This window comes from Homo sapiens, chromosome 2 (assembly GCF_000001405.40).
Source record: "Homo sapiens chromosome 2, GRCh38.p14 Primary Assembly".
NCBI lineage: Eukaryota > Metazoa > Chordata > Mammalia > Primates > Hominidae > Homo > Homo sapiens.
The window spans coordinates 143,174,313-143,194,453 of NC_000002.12; the positions used below are offsets into that span (position 1 = coordinate 143,174,313).

General features: G+C 37.2%; 1 protein-coding gene across 9 annotated transcripts in view; it reads left to right on the forward strand.

The window, feature by feature from the left end:
• The window catches only part of ARHGAP15 (Rho GTPase activating protein 15), a 638,934-nt gene that overhangs the window by 44,894 nt on the left and 573,899 nt on the right, over positions 1-20,141 (forward strand). The window lies entirely within an intron of this gene.

Here is a 20,141-nt window from a genome sequence, read left to right on the forward strand (position 1 = left end):
CCAAATGAGCAGCTTAATAGTCACAAAAAGCTAAATGAAAAGACTTTGATCACCACCTTTGAGAGCACTGTGTTCCAACATCTCTCCCATCCATAATTGGCAAACACTAACTGAGCTTTTAATTTTTTTTAAAAAAAGAAACATACAAAATACTCTAAAGAAACTTATTTTTTCAGAAAAATTTTCTCCTTTTTTGTTGTGTTTGCCAAGTATGCTTAGCCCTACCTATTCTATTTGTTTTCCAGGTCATATAAAGCATCTGTGTGCCTATAGGTTATTTCTTTATATGTGATTTTTAACAATTTATTCATTTTCTTTTCATAAGAACTGAGATGAGTTATGAATTCAGTTGAAGTGATAGAAATTATGCAGCACTTTTGAGTGCCTATTTGATTTACTTGTTAAAAGAATTGGTACAGATTAATCAGTATGGTCTCCCCCATATCTGGAGGGACAATGGAGCTACTCAATGGTTCTTTCATATTCACATTTCCTCCTGGAAAAAGTAGAATAATGACTCTATAATGAAGTCTTTATACAAACACAATGTATCCCGAAAAAATATTAACAATATTTTTGTAATTGATCAAATGGGAAGAAAATTCTCTTTGGGTATTAATTAGACATATCAACGTTATTCACTCCACTGCTAAAAAAGTAACAACACTACAGAGACTTTTTATATCCAAGTTTTAAATCAACTTTATATTGTAGACTATTAATTTTCCCAATGAACCTGCAGATGCATAATCTGAAAGTGGACACTCTGTAGTGGTGGACTATGCATACATAGAAAGAAAACCACAGAGGGTTAAAAAATAGCAAGCCTGAGTTTTTATGGGTCATTAGCTCTTTAATGCACCTCAAGGGCTCCTAAACCAATGAACTGAGAGTCTTGGGAAGACTCTAGCCTGACCCGAGTGAAAGAAATGAGGAAGAGCACAAGTATTAGCAGTGCTCGATGCTATTAAAATATTAACCAAAGACTAATTTGAAAATGTATTAACCACATAGTAAGTTAAGGCCCATCACAGATCAAATGCTAAGTTTTGGGACAGGAAGAAATTGGCGTAAGTAACTGGCAAATATTCAGGGTGGAAAGATTGGAAGGGAGAAAAGCTATCATGGAAAATGACCTGATAGCCTTTTGAGGCCTTGTGGTTGTCAGAGATCCCTGTGATAATGATCTGCATCCATTGGTGCTTCTTCCCTGAGGAGGCAAATGCCTGAAAAACAGAAGCTCCAATATTTCTATGGGTGTGGAGCAGGTATCCGCATAGCACAGTGAAGAAAAGTAGTGGGGATACTCACCACTCTCATTCTCAGCCACAGATCTTGGGGTGACTAACGCTCTCTGAAGTCATCTTCAGAAGCCACTATAACTCTTTTAAAGTTGCTTCCTTGAACTTAGAAATGGGTGCAATATTTTGGGGGAGGCCTCTCTAACTGCTGCAAACCACCAATATCTCTAAGGCTATTAATGATGATCATCTTGAAAACCCAACCTAGTAGCAGATGTGGTTTCAATGGAAAAAGAAAGAGTCAAATCCATGTCAGAGAATCAGAAGAGACAGTGGATGTTGTCTATTTGAGTAATATAAAAAATAAAGTGATATAATTGAATAGTATAATATACATAATACTTGAAAGAAATTAGTATGTTATACATTGAAAATAAAATACGTATGTCTGTCTAGAGACTATTTTTTTAAAGACGGACAGATTTCAAGGGAATCATTCCACGGTTATGCTTGAACACAAATGAGTTACTATATCTTCAAAGATTCCTTCAGATCAACAATTGGTCATGTGAGGAAGAGAGATGACTTAATTCCCTTAAGCAAAATACTTCAGGAGGCTTTTGTCACATGGTTCTAAGGATTTACAAAAATTATTTAATATTGATGGAAAATATTAAATGAGCAATTATATAAGAAAACTTTTATATTATTCACCTATATCAATGAAACATTTTACTCAGTTTTAGTTGCAGTTTTCAAAAACAATTGAGAAAAGTATTTAATAAGAAAATAAATCTAACTACTTTGTTAATTTAGGTTATTTGCATCATGTTATTAAAAAAGTGGAATTGATATTCATATGCAGAAGACATGCTATGAATAAATTAATAATTATATATCCTAAATAAGCTTGAGTTTTGGGCAGCTAGTTAAATTATTACATGATAGCAGAGGATGTATCTTCTTTCTTTTGTCTTCTCTGTCATTTAATATTAAGTAGTAAAAAAAAACTAGTAAATAAGACTAAGAATAATCATGTACTGCTCAGGTCTTTTTTGGTTGTAAACGTAGAAACCCCATTTGAACTAGTTTAGAAAAGAAAAAAGAGTATTTGCTTTTATAACACATATTCATGATCTACTGATAAACCATCCCCAACTGTGTATTTAACTTACAAATCTGCAGTTTGGGCAGGATTCACAAGGCAAGGCTCATCTCATTGGCTGGGGCAGCTCCACTTAGGCCTGAAAGATTTACTTTGAAGACAGTTCTCTCACATGATTGAAAGCTAATGCTATTGTTTCCTGAAAGCTCAGCTGGGGCCGAGGGTTGCAGATTGGAGGGGGCTCTCTTTCCTTCCACATGGGCCTTTCCATGGCCTCCTTCAGCTTCCTTATGGCATAGGGACTACGTTCCAGGAGCCAGTGTTCCAAGAGGACCAGAAAGAAGTTGTATAACCCTTTATGTACAAGTTTTGGAAGTCTTAAGGAGTCACTTTCTTGGCAGTTACAGCCCTGCCATATCTAAGGGAAAGGAACATAGATTCTCACAGTGAGGAGTATTGTGAATGACTTGGAAAATAAAATATGCGACATAACTGAAATTTAGATATGCTCTTTTCTCTATCTGTGCACCTTTGCCTCTCTTTTATATGCTGTCTTCTTTTTCCTCTGTTAAGACAGTCTTTCTCCATTAAGTGGGTAAGATGAGAGCCGGCTGTTCACATGCTTAGAGTACTCTGTCGTAGAATTAAAAGGAATTCTTCTCCATCAGCTTGAGGGGGAATAAGGGCTTAAAAGGCAAAGTTAGAATTTGGACAGTACTCGTCAGAAACATAATTAGGAAAAATAGTCCCCACTCTCACCAAGTATGGGTTACATTCAGGTCAGACAACATAAAGAACATCCACTAAAAGTTTTGACAACAGAAAAGGGTCTTTTGCATTTTGCTGCCTACCTTTCACTTTCGATTGCATACTCATTTGTTTATTCACTCAAGTATCTGTACTTACACTCTCTGACAGGGAGTGTTCTACATCAGTGATTCTCAAAGGGTGATCTAGGGATCCCTTGGGGTTCCTCATCCTTTCAGGGGGTCCAAGAGGTCAAATCTATTTTCATAATAATTCTAACATATGATTTGCTTTTTTCACTCTGATTTTTATAAGGGTGTACAGTGAAGCCTTCCAGAGCCTACATGACATGTATCACAATAGTGAAGAGATTTCCTGCTGTCTTCTCTTAAGCCAGACATTAAAGACATTTGCAAAAACACAAACCATTGCCTCTCTTGTCACTGAATTTTTCTTTATTTTAGAAAATAGTTATTTTATTAAAAATATGCTATTTGTGTTAATAAGCAATGCATTTATTTACTGTATCTACTTAATATGTGTTATTAAAATTACTCAAATTTAGTTTCTAACAAGCTAAATGTTGATAGTTGTAACCCACATTAACAAGGTCTTTAAGGAATTAAAAAAATTTTTAAGAATATAATGTCCTGTGAAAAATGTTTGAGAACCTGTGTGTAACTTGAAATGTGATATCCAACAAAGCAAACGAAGCCTCTGCTTTCTGAGTACAGAAGAGATGCCAGCCTACTTCAAGGAGGATTACAAGATTTATTATGCCGCACCATAATTATCTATCAATGGTCAAGGTCCTCCACAAAACTCTAAGTTTCTAGAGGGCAGAGACTATATATTATTTTCAGAAAAAACTTCAAAAATTATAGTTATTTTTTCAATGAGAAATACAAAAGTATTCAATTTTAGGCATTCATGAACTCCATTGAAGGATGAAATTTTTCTTATTAATTTACTTCTAAGGTGGCAATAAAAATTGAGAAGTTATCAGTTTTAAAGAACTCATTAAAATCTAAGGCTTATCAGAAATTGATATTGGCTAAATAGTATCTAAAGTGACATATAAATGTTCATGATGTCTGTATTGAAGAATTCACGCTAAATAAAATGGTATTATGTTAAGTGCATTTTACTGATTTGGGGTTGTTATAAACCTACAAACAAAATGTTGGCTATTTTTCTTCTTTTAATTTTTAAATTTTTTATTACTATTATTTTTTGTAGAGATGTGTCTCGCTGTGTTGCCCTGGCTGGTCTCAAACACCTGGCCTCAAGCAATCCTCCCGCCTCAGCCTCCCATAGCACTGGGATTATAGGCATAAGCCACTGCGTCAGGCCCATTTTTCTGATCTTGTGTTAATTTTCCTGCTACTGAGCATACATAGTACATGCTTCATACATTTTGAGTTTGATTGTTTTAGATTAGATGCAGATTGTAATATAGAAATGCAATATAGAATTGCTTGAGCACCGCTTTTCATCGCCAGTCTGGAATCACCAATTTATTTTCTTTGGCTATGATTTTGGAGTCTTTAGAAAGCAACACTAAAATCCTAGAGGTAAAGCCTTAGGCTCATTTAGAATGAGAAATGCTCATTTGCTGCCATGCTAAGGTGCATGCAATTATCCAGGGTACCTGGCAATTAACACCCTTCTCTAGTGCAGTGATTACCTAATTTGGCTAAGAATCATTAGAGGGCTTTTTAAAAATACAGATTCCTGCACCTAACCTAGACCTTACAAATCAGAATCCAGCTTCTACTATTTACTGAGTGTCAAATGTTTGATATCTCAAAGCTAAACAAACAAACAAAATCTAGGAAGAGTCCCTATATTTGCCTGTCTCTGTTTTGAAACTCAGCCTATGAAACAAAGAGCACTATATCATAGAAGTCATCTTGCATTCAAAAGCTACAAATATCCACCTTATATCCTGCCTATAAGTCTCCAACTTCCTCTTATGTCTTAAGAAAAGTCTAGACATAGCTCAACTGTGTCTAAGCAAATCTGTGCAAGCAAACTTCAGATATATTGCAGGTTTGGTTCCAGACTACCAAAATAAACAAATATTGCAATAAAGCAAGTCATACAAAAATTTTGATTTCACAGAGCAAATAAAAGTTATGTTTATACTATTCTATAGTCTATTAAGAGAGCAATATCATTTTGTATAAAAAACAATATGAGCCAAGCGTGATGGCTCATGTCTGTAATCCCAACACTTTGGGAGACTGAAGCAGGAGGATCACTTGAGCCTTGGGATTCAAGACCAACCTTGCCCATGCAGTGAGACCCTGTCTCTACAAAAAATTAAAAACAAAATTAATCGGGCGTGCTTTTCCATGCCTGTAGTCCCACCTACTTGGGAGGCTGAGGTGGGAAGATTGCTTGAGCCCTGAAGGTGGAGGTTGCAGTAAGCCATGATTGCACCACTGCGCTCCAGCCTGGGAGATAAAGTGAGACATTGTCTCAAAAAAAAAAAATGCATACCTTAATTTAAAGAAATATTATTGCTAAAAAATGCTAACAATCATCTGAGCCTTCAAAGAGTCATATCCTTTTTGCTGGTGGAAGGTCTTGCCTTGATGTTGATGGCTGCTGACTGATCAGGGTGGTGATTTCTGAAGGGCAAAGTGGCTGTGGCAATGTTTTGAAATAAGTCCACAGTGAAGTTTACCACATTGGTTGCCTCTTTCTTTTGTGAAAGATTTCTCTGTAGCATGTGTTGCTGTTTGACAGCATTTTACCTACAGTAGAATTTCTTTCAAAATTGGAGGCAATCCTTTCAAACTCTGCTGCTGTTTTATAAACTGAGTTTATGGAATATTCCAAATTTTGTCGTTCCAGCGACATTCACGGCCTCTTCACTGGGGTACATTCCATCTCAAGTACATTCTTTGCTCATCTGTAAGAAGCACCTTCTCATTAAAATTTTATCATGAGATTGCAGCAATTTAGTTACATCCTCAGGCTCCACTTCTTATTCTAGTTGTCCTGTTATTTTTACCACATCTACAGTTACATTCTGCATTGAAGTCCTGAACCCCTCAAAGTCATTCATAAGGATTGGAATACACTTCTTTCAAACTCACATTAATGTTGATATTTTGACCTTCTCTCATGAATCATGAATGTTCTTAGTGACATCTAGAATGGTAAATCCTTTTTAGAAGGTTTTCAAATTACTTCGTCCAGATCCATCAGCGGAATCACTGCCTATGCAGCTATAGTCTTATTAAATATATTTCTTTTTTTTATTATTTTTTTGAGACGGAGTCTCACTCTGTTGCCCAGGCTGGATGGAGTACAGTGGCGTGATCTCGGCTAACTGCAAGCTCTGCCTCCCGGGTTCACTGCATTGTCCTGCCTCAGCCTCCCGAGTAGCTGGGACTACAGGCGCCCACCAACACGCCAGGCTAATTTTTTGTATTTTTAGTAGAGACGGGGTTTCACCGTGTTAGCCAGAATGGTCTCGATCTCCTGACCTCGTGATCCGTCGCCTCGGCCTCCCAAAGTGCTGGGATTACAGGTGTGAGCCACTGTACCCGGCCTTAAATATATTTCTTAAATAACAAAACTCTAAAGCCAAATTTACTACTTGATCCATGAGCTGCAGAATGGATGTTAGCAAGCATGAGAACAACATTATTGTCCTTGTACATCTCCATCAGAGCTCTTGAGTGACTAGCTGCATTGTCAATGAATAGTAATATTTTGAAAGGAATCTTTTTTTTTGAGCAGTAGGTCTCAACAATGGGCTTAAAATATTCAGTTAAGTCATGCTGTAAACTGATGTGCTGTCATCCAGGCTTTGTTGTTCCATTTATAAAATACAGGCAAAGTATATTTAGTATCATTTTTAAGGGCCCTAATATTTTTGGAAGGGCAAATGAGCACTGGCTTCAACTTAAAGACACTGATAACTAGAGAATCAGCCTGTCCTTTGAAGCTTTGAAACCAGGCATTGACTTTTCCTCTTGAGCTATGGAAATCCTAGATGACATATTTCATATAAAGGTATTTCATCTACATTGAAAATGTGTTGTTTAGTGTAGCTAGCTTCATCAATAATTTTAGCTGGATCTTCTAGATAACTTGCTGCAGCTTCTACAACAGCACTTTCAGCTTCACCTTGTACTTTTATGTTATGGAGATGACATCTGTCCTTAAACCTCATGAACTAACCTCTGCTGCCTTCAGACTTTTCTTCTGCAGTTTTTCCACCTCTCTCAGCCTTCAAGGAATTGAAGAGGGTTAGGGCCTTGCCCTCAATTAGGTGTTAGCTCTTAAGGGAAAGTTGTGGCTGCTTTGATCTTCTATCCAGACCACTCAAACTTTCTTCATAGCAACAAGAAGTTTGTTTTACTTTCTTATCATTCCTGTGTTCACTGTAGGGGCACTTTTAATTTCCTTCAATAACTTTTCCTTTGCATTCACAACTTGACTGGCACATAAAGCCTAGATTTCAGCTTAACTTGGTTTTTGACATGCTTTCCTCACTAAACTTAATAATTTCTAGCTTTTGATTTTTTTTTTTTTTGAGACAGAATCTCCCTCTGTTGCCCTGGCTGGGTGCAGTGGTGTGATCTTGGCTCACTGAAACCCCTGCCTCCCGGGTTCAAGTGATTCTCCAGCCTCAGTCTCCTGTCTCAGATACTCCCAGATACAGAGTATCTGGGATTACAGGTACTCAGCACCATGCCCACCTAATTTTTGTATTTTAGTAGCAATGGGGTTTTGCCATGTTGGCCAGGCTGGTCTCAAACTCCTGACCTTGGGTGATCTGCCCACCTCGGTCTCCCAAATTGCTGGAATTAAGTGAGAGATATGCAACTCTTCTTTTCACTTAAGCACTTACAGGCCATTGTAGGGTTATTCATTGGCCTAATTTTAATACTGTGGTATCTCAGAGAATAGGGAGGCAGAGGAGAGGGAAAGAGACAGGGGAACTGCCAGTTGGTGGGGCAGTCAGAACACACACAATGAAGCTTAATAAGGTGAAGCACAATAAAATGAAGTATGTCTGTACTTATATTTTCCTTCTCCACAAAACATTTCCCTAAGGGGTGTGCATGTGTGAAAGATGGGTGGTGGGGAGGAAAAGAGGAGAGAGAATATTGAGTTATTGCAGGATCAACTTTGCTCCATGAACTTTGTAGGGGCTTTTACTTACTTACCCTTGCTGCCGTTCACCAGCAAATCTCAGTTTCTAGAAGGTTGAGAATTAATACAGTTTTGAGGACTGGCCCTAGTAAGGCAAATGTTTGAGGGTGAAAGAAACTCAGAGACATTTGAGGCAATCACGTGCAACAGCTGGACTAGGTGCCTGGCAGTAGAAAGCTCACAAGGACTTAGGTGAGATGGCGTTATGTAATAAGAGATCTGACTGTATGTAACAGGGCACCTACTAAGTAGCAGGGATACTAACAACATAACCTACCAGGAAAGAGAATGAGCAGGACCTCAGGGGAGAAAGCCCTTCAAGCAGCAGAGTGGTTCAGGGTAAATATTCCTCATCACTGGAAGGATCAGGAGACCAAAGGCCAGCTGCCAGGAATAGAAGATTAAACTTAACAGATTAAGCCAGTACTAGAAGCAGGTAAAGGAGAGAGGGAAGGGCTACAAGAATGCTTACATTAGACCTAGCACTTCGGCCTAACTGGCAGCAAAGATTCAAAGTGGGATACTCACTGACTTTGAGACTTGAGAGGCTCACTGAATATGTATTCTCTCAAGATAGTAGAAGAGAAGGGCCTGACTGTATTCTGGCTTCTGTTAACTGGTTCTGTAGCTAAACTAAGCCTGTTAGAAGAGCTGGTCTTCAGATAAGCAACAGTAGGAGAAAGTCAGCTTGGCTGTGAGGTGTTGTCAGGTATTGTAATTTATTCATAACAAATACACTGATTTTTCATGACCAATGACTAATTAGCATCAGCCTAAAGAGGTCTGTATTGTTGAAATTATAGAGACTTAAGGTGTCTTTCAGATGTAAGCCATGTTTTTTCTGGGTAGTGGGAACAACAATCAATCAGGAAAGTGAAAACAGCATCAGTGGGCACCATCAGAGGCTACAATTTTTTTTGTACTGATTCAAACATATCTTTTAAAAATGATTAAGTATATAAAAGTATCTAAAAAGGATAAGATAAGAAATACGAGCTCACAAAGGGGGAATAAAAGTGTAGAACAGCCGAAAGGGTCCCTCAGTTTCAGGCCGAGTGTGAGAATAGGACACTCTAAAACACTTTAAAAATCTCTAAATACCCAGAGATTTCTTTGTTTTGGATTGTATTTTTCTTTTCTTTTTTTTTTTTTTAAAGCTAAAGATGAAATGCTGTCATATTACAATTTTGTTTACTGGAAGCAAAATTGACCAAAAGAAACTGTCCTTAAACTGAAGTTTAAAGTTGGAACCTCATGAAAAGACAGTCTTTATAAATGATCAAGTTGGCATGTCAGGGTAAAAGACAGGAATGTAAGATTAGGCAAACCAGAATTTTCTCTGCTGTGATTGCCCTTGCTCTTGAGAGCTCGTTCTTTCTCTTTGACTATTAGCCCATGGCAGTTGACTCAACTAGGGAGGTCAGCTTCTCAGCCGCCCAAGTCCCAGGAAGAAAAGACAGAAACACGTAACCTGAAATGACACAGCCGCTGATGCAGCTTGTTGCTCTGCTTGCTTATATTTTGAAGTATATCATGTAAGCTGAATTGCAAAGAATAGCATTCGACAGGGTGAAGGGTTGCATACACTGAAGAAAAGGCAAGATTCTTGGTGAGGCAAAAGTCTGAAGGACAAGTGCCTTTAGCATCAACTGAAAGTCTTACTGTATAATATGACCTCAACAAAATTGGACAGTGCTGCATAGTCAAGAAAGGGATAGCAAACTGAAAGAACTGATTTAGTGGTATTGCCATCTAGCTAGCTTACTTAGGAATTATTTCTGATGACTTTAATTTCAATAAGGCAGGACTAATTCCTTTATCCACATTTCCATCTATATCTTTGTTGGATGTTTGGGGATGGAAGAGTCCAATAGTAAAAGGGAAGTAGATTCTTATGTGGCCTCAAGGAAACATTGTGTATTAGTATGGGACTGGATAACTAGTTATCTAATATCTAGTTACTTTATATATTTGAGCATAAATTTAACAATTAATGATACTGATTTAAGAGACTGATTTTGTCAATCAAATGACATTTTGGAGGTAGGTAAAAAAAAAAACTAAAAATAATCCCGCCTAGCTAATACAGTCCTTTTCTTGCTGTTGTTGTTGTTTTAAGACAAGTTCTTATTCTGTTGCCCAGACTGGAGTACAGTGGCGTGTTTATAGCTCACCACAGCCTTGAACTCCTGGGCTCAAACACTCCTCTTGCCTTGAGGTAGGCAGGACTACAGGTACACCACGATGCCCAGCTTTTTTTTCTTTTTTCTTTTTTTTTTTGTAGAGACAAAGTCTCACTATGTGGCTCAGACTGGTCTCACACATCTGACCTCAATCAATCTTCCCTCGTTGGTTTCCCAAAGTGTTGGGAATACAGGCTCAGCCAACACAGTATTTAACACAGTATTTTGCCTACAGAAATTACTCAAGAAATACTCGTTTAAACTGTAGCTCAATTTCCTCATTTTCCAAATGAATGTAATAATTTCCTCTATATAATATAGTGCTCTGCTTTCACAAAATGAGTTTAATATATGTAAAACAATTTTGAAAAATGAAATGAAACATTTTTATTAATACGTTCCGATTGAGTTTAATATTTATCCCATGCCTGCTATGTACCAAGTGCTCTGCTCATCTGTTTACTAGAATGGTGTGGATATGGTCTCTACTTAAAAGAAAAATAATCTTTTTCTCTTTAATTTACTTCGTCCCTATTGAAGTTTTCATTGTCCCATTGATTTAAACTATTGACACATAGATTGAAGCTTGTATACTTTGAACTTATCTTGTATTTTTCTTTGCTTCAAACTTTTGGTTCTCTGATTGGTTTTTAATCTCTGATTGTGCTGGGACCAGGTCATAATCACATGGAAGTTTCCTTCAAACTGCAGTCTCCTCTAAGATTCTGCAATATCCCCTAGGAGTGCTACCCCAATCCTATAATTACTGCAATATGAGTGGCTGTCATTTCCAGATGTGTTTCCTTCAGGTGTGTTTGAGGGTGGTCAAAATAATAGAGATCCTCATTCCCGATAGATCCTTGTTTCATGGTTAGAATGCACTTCACCTTCATCATGTACTATGGTATCAATCATTAACTGCTATCATAGGAAATCTATTTATTCTTTGCCAGCACCATTAGAAAGACTTCATAAACCAGGTAAAAGTGCTTTCTCTTAAGCAGAAATTTTAAATGATGTTTTGTAGCATAAAGTGACAATATATATATTTAAAAATTTTCTAACCCCCAAATTCATTAGTTTCACCAAGTGCTTCCAGCCTCCATCTTAGTCCTTTTCTTCTTTAACTTTAGACCCCAAATTAACTTCTCCAGAGCTCCCTACAACGTATCTTGTTTCTTGAGGGGGAAAAATAAACCCCCACCAAATTCCTGTAAAGGATACTTAATAAATAGTCATTACATTCCTTCAATAACTTTACCATTAAGCTTCTGTTGAGTTTGTGGCTAACATTTCAAAAATAATCTCAACTTTTTCTTCTTATTGCTGCTGAGTTGGGTGTGTCTTTCATTGTGGCTAGATGAGGGACATAAAATTAGTGGTAAAGCCACAAATAACCAGAGAAATTTGATAATATGAAATAGGAATACAATCATATTTTCTTTGTTTATGAATAAAATTTAGGAATCTCTATTTAAATAATCTCGACTTATGAAGAGCAAAAATGTTTGCCTTTTGCACTATGAAAATTTTACTTTAAAGGTTATTCTGTTAAAGTTTTCTGTTTTAAAGTTTAGCTATACAGTTTTTGTTTTAAGAGTTTATAATTCTTGTTCTTGGGGGGAAAAGAGTTAGTATTACAAAATTCGTTTATATTAAACATGTCCTTTTTGCATGTGACCAAAATCATTGGTTCCTAGGTATGTTTTGCACCTGTTCATGTCCTGTGATTTTAGTTCTCCATTCCTCATCTTTGAATTGCCACTGATTTCAAATCCCTGTCTCCAAAACAATATAATGACCATTCTCTGTTAGTCTATCTTCAAAACATTCCCACTTGGTCCTATATTTTATCAGCCTTCACATTTCCCTGAAAATATCCCCTAAATGAACCACAGAGGATTCTGTGCTAAATGCCCAGGACCACAATTTGGGAATCATTACTCTATGTGACTGATTTCTCCCGAAACAAACACTTTGATCATTTAAAAATGATGGCTCTTGCTGAGAGTACTAATGAGCAAATTCGTGCTTTGTGGTTTATACACAATGGAGGATTAAAAATGGGTTCAGAATTGGACTCCCTCTTTAGTCTTCCAAGGGGAACATTAGTGAGAGAGTTATTTTTAAAAAATTAATCCTATTTTGGCAGCTTCCCTTGATTTGAATATGAAATGGTGTTAAGTAGGTGACCAGTGAAATGACTTTCTCTTTTCTTTGTAGATGTCTGTAAACAGTGGAAATACGAAAATGTTTCTGTGGACTTTCTAGATCCAAGGATCTAGTGGCCCCTCACCCGCTAATAACAGCCAAGAGATTATTTTGCAGCTCCTTTCACTTAGTGTCTAGAAAGATAAACATAGAGTTAGATAATAGCATGAATTTTTTTTTCTGATATGGTGCGAAAGCAAATGTAAGCATTTCACTAGTTGACTATTTCTTGGGGAAGACTCATTTGTCTGTGTAAAATGCCTTCAAAGACCAAGAGGAAGCCAAGGCCACAGGGAATTAGAGAAGGGCTAGAGTCCCCACATTCCTTTGCCTTCTCCTTTAACCCCGACTATGTTTACAGCCCTTAGAAAGTGCATTAGGGAGTGAGTCTTCAATCTGAAGCCTTAAGAGCAGAAGGGTATGGCCTCTACTTTAAAAAGGTATTGTTTGGATAAAGAATGCAGGGGTTCCTTCGATGATAATACTAGCTAACATCATTGAGCACTTATTTCACACTGCCCTTGAAGTCACTTCAGAAGTATTAATCCATTTGATCACTCCACAACTCTAGGAAATAGGAGCTATTATTGCCTCCATCTTGTAGATGAGGAGACTGAGACACAGAGACGTTAAACGAATTGCCCTAAGCCACAAAGATGAGAGGTGCATGCAGTCTTTGAATCTACTAGTTGCTACCATTGTAATTTTGCGAAAATTATTCTCTGCTGAATCATACTTATAATTCTTTTTGTATTCCACTTATATTGAAGGATCTGATAAGGAAGTGGGACTTTTCATGATGTAAATTGATGGGTGAGAGCTCTCATTTATCCAATTAGGTGGGAGAATAGCCTGGTCCCTTTCTCTTTCTTTCAACCTTTTGAAGAAAAAGTTTCTTTTTAAAATGATACATTACATTGTAATCAATATTTATGTTTATTAAAGTTATACATGAAGTTAAGACTTTAGTCTAGAAAACTTTTGATTCAACATAGCATTTCTCTGACTTCTCTACCTGTCTATTCATCAGTTCCCCTTCCTAGAGGCAACTGCCTTCAACAGCTTTGTTTTTTTGTTGTTTCTTTTTTGTATTAACCTTCTTTTCTTTTTAAATATTACGCATATACTGTTTTCCCTGATTTATCTGTTCTAGGCATTATGCACTTTCCGTTACTATAGTTTAATATCTCATTTACACCTCACAGCTTCTTCCCTTCCCTCTATTGTTTCATCATAGTTTTTCACAATTTTTAGTTCAATTACTAATTGACATTATTATTTTCTAAATTTTTCCAACTATGTCAATAATTATATAAACATAAATTTCTTTGTATTCAATTTTCTTGGATGGAGTAAATGATTGCCTAAATTTTAATTTTACTTATATTTTATCATAACTATAGCTATTTTTCCAAAAATATCAACAAAATTGCCAAATATCTATCTTTTGGCCAAACACTGAATTATTAAATAATGTAGTGCCTCCTTTTAAAAAATTTCCTCCCATTGTTCTCCATCTGCTTGCTTAACACATCTTGAACTAAAGGCTCTATTGGCCTAACACGCAGTGCAGAACATGTAACTTCTTGTTGCCATGTTCCTATGTTCCTGTGTTCCTGTGCCTTATTATTTTGTCATTATTATTATTATTATTATTATTATTATTATTATTATTATTTGTCTCCCAAGCTAGAGTGCAATGGTATGATCTCAGCTCACTGCAACCTCTGCCTCCCAGGTTCAAGCTATTCTCTTGCCTCAGCCTCCTGAGTAGCTGGGATTACAGGTGTGTGCCACCATGCCCGGCTAATTATTTTTTTGTATCTTTAGTAGAGATGGGGTTTCATCATATTGGCCAGACTGGTCTCGAACCCCTGACCTTGTGATCCACCTGCCTCGGCCTCCCAAAGTGCTGGGATTACAGGCATGAGCCACCGTGCCGGCCCCTATGCCTTATTTCTAACGATTTTTTTTTTTCCCTTGGTCAAATCCTTCATTTTGCCTAAACACTTCCCCTAGTTGCTTCCAAACAAGAATATAGTGGAAATAAACACATTTAGTCCTTCCATATCAGGAAATGTCTTTACTTAATGCTATCATTTGATTGATAATTTAACAGATTATTTAATTATAGGTGGACAATATTTTCTCCTCAAATTTTGAAAGCATTCTTCTAGCCTCCAGTCAGTTTTAGAAGAGTCCAGTACGATTCTGATTACCAACTTTTTGTTGTAAGTGATTGTTCCCCCTTCCTCTCTCTTCCACATACACTATTTTTGGAAGATTTTACAATCTTTTCTTAGCCCCAGTGTTCTGTAACTATATGGTCCTTCTTGTTCATTTATTGTACAGGGCACTTGGTAAGCTCTTTCAGTCAGAGGCTCATATCGTAAAATTTGGAGACATTCTCTTGTACTTCATGTTAAATTCTTTTTCCAGCTATTAAAAAAAAATTGTTCTTTTGGATTTTTCTATTAGGTAGATGTTGAACTTCCTACTTTATTCTCTGATCTTTTCTTTCTTTCTTTTTTTTTTTTTTGGGAGACAGTCTCATTCCTCATTGCAACCTCCCCTCTCAGGTTCAAGCGACTCTCATGCCTCAGCCTCCCAAATAGCTGGGATTACAGGCATGGGCCAACACACCTGGCTAATTTTTGTATTTTTAGTTAGGATGGGGTTTCACCATGTTGGCCAGGCTGGTATCGAACTCCTGACCTCAAGTGATCCACCCACCTCAGCCTCCCAAAGTGCTGGGATTACAGGCGTGAGCCACCGCACCCGGACTTGATCTTTTCTTTCTACTCGTGTGTTCGCTTTTCCTGATATTTTTGGGTTAGCTATTTTTTCCTCCAGAAATTTACTTGATTTAAAAAATATATTTATATTTTTACTTTCCTAATGCCACTCTCATTTATTATTTCTGTTTTTATGAATCTTATATATTTTCTTATTTTAATTACAGTGCTAATAGTTTTTGTTCGCTTGTTTCCATCTGTTTCTTGTATTATTTCTGCTTACTTTGGGTTTCTTTCTGTTTGCTTATTTTGATATTCTTATTTCATTTCACAATTTTTTCTAAAGATTGTAAGCTTCATGAGAACAGAGAGTGTTTTATTTAGCACTTGAAACAGTATATTGCACATATTATTCAATGTTATTATTCATACAATAAATATTTCCTTAATTATTAGTTGTAAGTTAGTAAGTAGTTAATTTATAGTAACTCATATCTGCCTATTCACATTTTTAAAAGAGGCATTTAAAATGCTGATTAAAATTTCCTTGTGTTTGGAGCAGGGGCACTGGACTTCTTGACTGACAGTCTTCTCTAAATCAATCACATTATGAAGCTGACTTTTCATTGCGGATATCCAAATTTTAGTGTCTGCAGGACCTGGGAGCCATTCACTTCTGCTAGAGAAGACTCCTCCAATTTTCTGGATGAAGGGATATATTTTTGCCTCTGACATATCTGGGAGGTTGACTGAGGATGGGGACTAAAAGTCTTGTTGCTAATGAGGTAGATTTTAATCCCCTAGTTTGCAGTCTCACACTCACCTCTTCCCTCTGCAATGCCAAGTGACCTTGAGTCTAGACTCTAGAAGCTTCCTTGTTTAATTTTGTCTCATGAAGGTCTGGGAGCCGTCAGCTGACTATTTGCAATGGGTGAGTAAGCCTGGGAGTCTAGCCTTTCTGAATGATGGCTGTTGCAGGCAGTCTTGACCATATCTTCATGGTACCAGGCACTACCAAGTGATCAGCCTCTTGGATATTCTGTAGCGAAAGGCAAATTTGTTAACTTCTTTGTAATTAATACCTTCATCCCCACAACTGCACCCCGGGAGTGCAGGGGTGCAATCTCGGCTCACTGCAACCTCCGCCTCCCGGGTTCAAGCGATTCTCCTGCCTCAGCCTCCTGAGTAGCTGAGACTACAGGCGTGCGTCACCATGCCCAGCTGATTTTTGTATTTTTAGCAGAGACAGGGTTTCACCATGTTGGCCAGGATGGTCTCCATCTTTTGACCTCATGATCCGCCCGCCTGGGCCTCCCAAAGTGCTGGGATTACAGGCGTGAGCCACCGCACCCGGCCCACCTATCTATATTATTATTTCTTCTCCAAGAAACATTTCCAATCAAAAGGTCAGGTTTTTTTCTTTAGAAAAGGAACATAAACCCCAAGTATTATATATGCTACGCAGGTCGAGGAACTAGTATCCAAAGTATGATCAGTTATTTCAATTAAAGACTCATTGTCGGGGGTCATTTTGAAAATTCTATCTTATTTCAGTAAGAGTAGATGTCAAAGCTCCTAAGAGAAATTATGGAAGTCCACCTGGAAAAGGCTTGCAACTGACTTGGTTCGTATTTTAAAAAGAATGATGTATATGTTTCTAACAAGGTATCTTAGGGTAAAGCTATTGAAGTTTGTGGTGAATTCAAATAAATAATAGGTCACATGTATAAAGAGGTACAATATAAAGGTTGAAAGGCCAATTCCAATATAGTGTTATACACTATGCTAAGTATTGCAGATTTAAAGATGAATAAAACATGCCCCTTGCCCTCAAGAGTCCCTTGATAGGACATCTGCTTTTCTTCATTTTCAAGAAATTAGTTGTATGTGATTCTTACTGTTATAATCTTGGGATGTGACAAGTTGTGAGAGAAATGATTTATCAGGGAACTTTGATAGCTAAATCATACCACAGCAATCAGATTAATGAGTTTTGGATCAATCTAGTCATTCTTTTTTCTATTTTCACCAGAAACTCCTAACTCCCAATTTAGCTTCAAATAATATTTTTTCAACTATACCGATTTACCTCTTCTTTGACTAGTTCTCTTTTAGAATACATCTAAGTAAGTGGTACTAACCTGGAGGTAAATGAAGGACCCATCTTTTATAAAAATGTGCTGCCTTGAAGAATTTTTTTGACAGAAAAAAATGGCAGACTTTCTCTTATAAACCGTATGTTCTTACATTTCTGATATCTGGAATCAACAGCTTGCCAGAAACATTTCCAATCAAAAGCCAGACTAACCCATAAAGGTGTCCAAAGAAGTCTGTTCTGATTACTGAAGATGTTGAACTAGTCTTGACTTCAAACAGTAGATATTTCTACACTTTAGTGGTATATGACAGCTCTATTCATTCCACAATGTCAAATTCTTTGGTTTTGGCCATTGGGTATTTATGCACTTCTGGCTAGGGAAGCAGAGAAGCCTAATTTGATTCTGGAGCCAAAAGTTTTTAGGCCCTGTTCCTTTGGAACTTGGACTGGAGAATGTTGGCACTGTATAAAGACTAGGACAGATCAAGTAGTCACACATAACTAACTGACTCAACAGAGCATATTCAGAGAGAAAGATCATGCCTACACATGGATAACCATTCTCCAAGGCAGACTAACAACACCCTGAATTCAATCACCCCTAAATAAACACACAAGGAAAGCACAGCTTTAACATACCTTCCGGCACAGCTCTCCAATGCTGCCTGATTGGTTTTAGTGCCATAGGCCAGGCTGCAGATGCAGCCATTACTGTTGTTCTTACTTATGTCTGTCTGCTGTCTGCTAACAAGCATTCATATGCTTTGGATCATTAAAGTCACAACCTCCTATGCCAATCTATTCCTCTCCACGGGTTTGCTGTAGATTTGAAAGAGAGATGCTATTTCTGTTTCTTTTTCTTTCCATTAAGACCTCCAGTCAGGGTTATTTCTGAGGTCTGAATATCCTAGCTTGTACCCTTGCCCTCATTGAACATATAAATTGTGTTCCATTAAGTTTGTTCTTTTTGCCTGATTTATTTCCCTTGCTGTTGTATGTGCCTTTTTAATGCAAGGCAAATGATTTGTGCTGGAACTGCAACAGACAAAAGTGCTGTAACTTAAGCTGCTTCCTGATGCCACTGCTATCTATGAGAGGTCTGCTGTACTTACACCCATGGTAAATATCTTCTGACAGACTCCAGGTGGTCAGGATTTTCACAATCCAACCCATTTCAGTGTTAGCACTTGTCATGTGGGGCTCTGTGAATTCTTCCCTTTCATCTTACTGTTGGTGGCAGGTTGGATACATTTGGACATACCTGTACAAGGCCACATGTGTCCACAGTTATAATCGAAGGTGGAGAAACACAAGTTTCTCTTTCAGGGAAGCACAGAGGACAGATATTGTACAAAGAAAAAAAGAAAAAAAATTGTCACTTGTAGTATTATGCAGGCTGCCCATCTAAACCCATCATTGCCTGGCACCTACACACTAAGGGCAAGAATCCAGCCAACTTGTGAGTGGGCACCATGCCATTTGAGCAGATGGGCATGGAAGTCGGCAGCCAGTAGACCATGTATGTGCATCAACGGTGGGTGTTGAGGGCACGATTCCCAGAGGAGAATGTCCTAACAGCTGTCTGGCCTGAGCCAACATACTTACGACCAAGGAAAAGTGCCATCCTTCAATCCTGCTGAGTTGGATTAACCTTCAGAACTAAATCTGCTTTTTCGGCAGCAGAAGGTGAGTTTAGGGTCTCTGAAAATCTCAAAGAATAAGTGAAGAAAGGAAACTGGGAGGATACAATTATTCTCTATTGACTAAAGATACTGAGGACATTCAATATGCTTATTTTAAATCTTTGACTGAGAACCTGTTAATTCTTGAAAGAATGTTATAATTGTTCAAAGCTTGGCTTCCCACAAAGCTGTTAAAAGTGACCTTTAAACATAGGCAGACCATTTTCAGTGAGTTAACACTTTTCCACCTTTGCATTAAGAAATAGTGATATATGAAGAAAGGTGTCAGTAGACTACTGACAGCTGACTGTGGGTAGATATCTTTGTCAAACTTGACATATCATGGATTAAATTAGATCTATCATGGATCAGAGCTTTCACAAAAGAGAATTTCTTCTTCAGTGATGGAACATACACTTGAAGAAGTAAGAAGTAAACTTCCTATTTCAACGAAAGCCTTTCTGGGCAATGAAAGAAACATTTTTATTTGAGACTGAAAATAAAGCCTGATTCTAATTTGTTAAGAATTTCCAGACAGTTAAACATCATTAAATTAGATAGAAATTGTTTCTGCCAAACATAGCCAAATGGTGATTTGACAATGATTTGTTTTACTTGGTTAGGAATAGGTAGATAATTTTAACATTCAGATCCTTAATTATTTTCTATGTTGCTTTCTTATGAGGTATTTGTGTGGTAGTTCTTGCTATTGTTTTCTGTTGTCTTAAATCTTTTTATTTTAAATATAACATATGACTTTAGTTGTGGATAAAATATCAGTTTGGTTCAAGATTATCCACCTACGTTTTCTTAATCTACTCCCTAAACTATTTCATTTTGTTTATATCAAGAGAGTAAGTGCTTATATTATTGGGAGTGAAAGAGATTAATAAGTTATTTTATCTGCTAATGGTAGGAACTATAGCTTTGGCTTTGATGAATTATATAATGTCTTAGATCT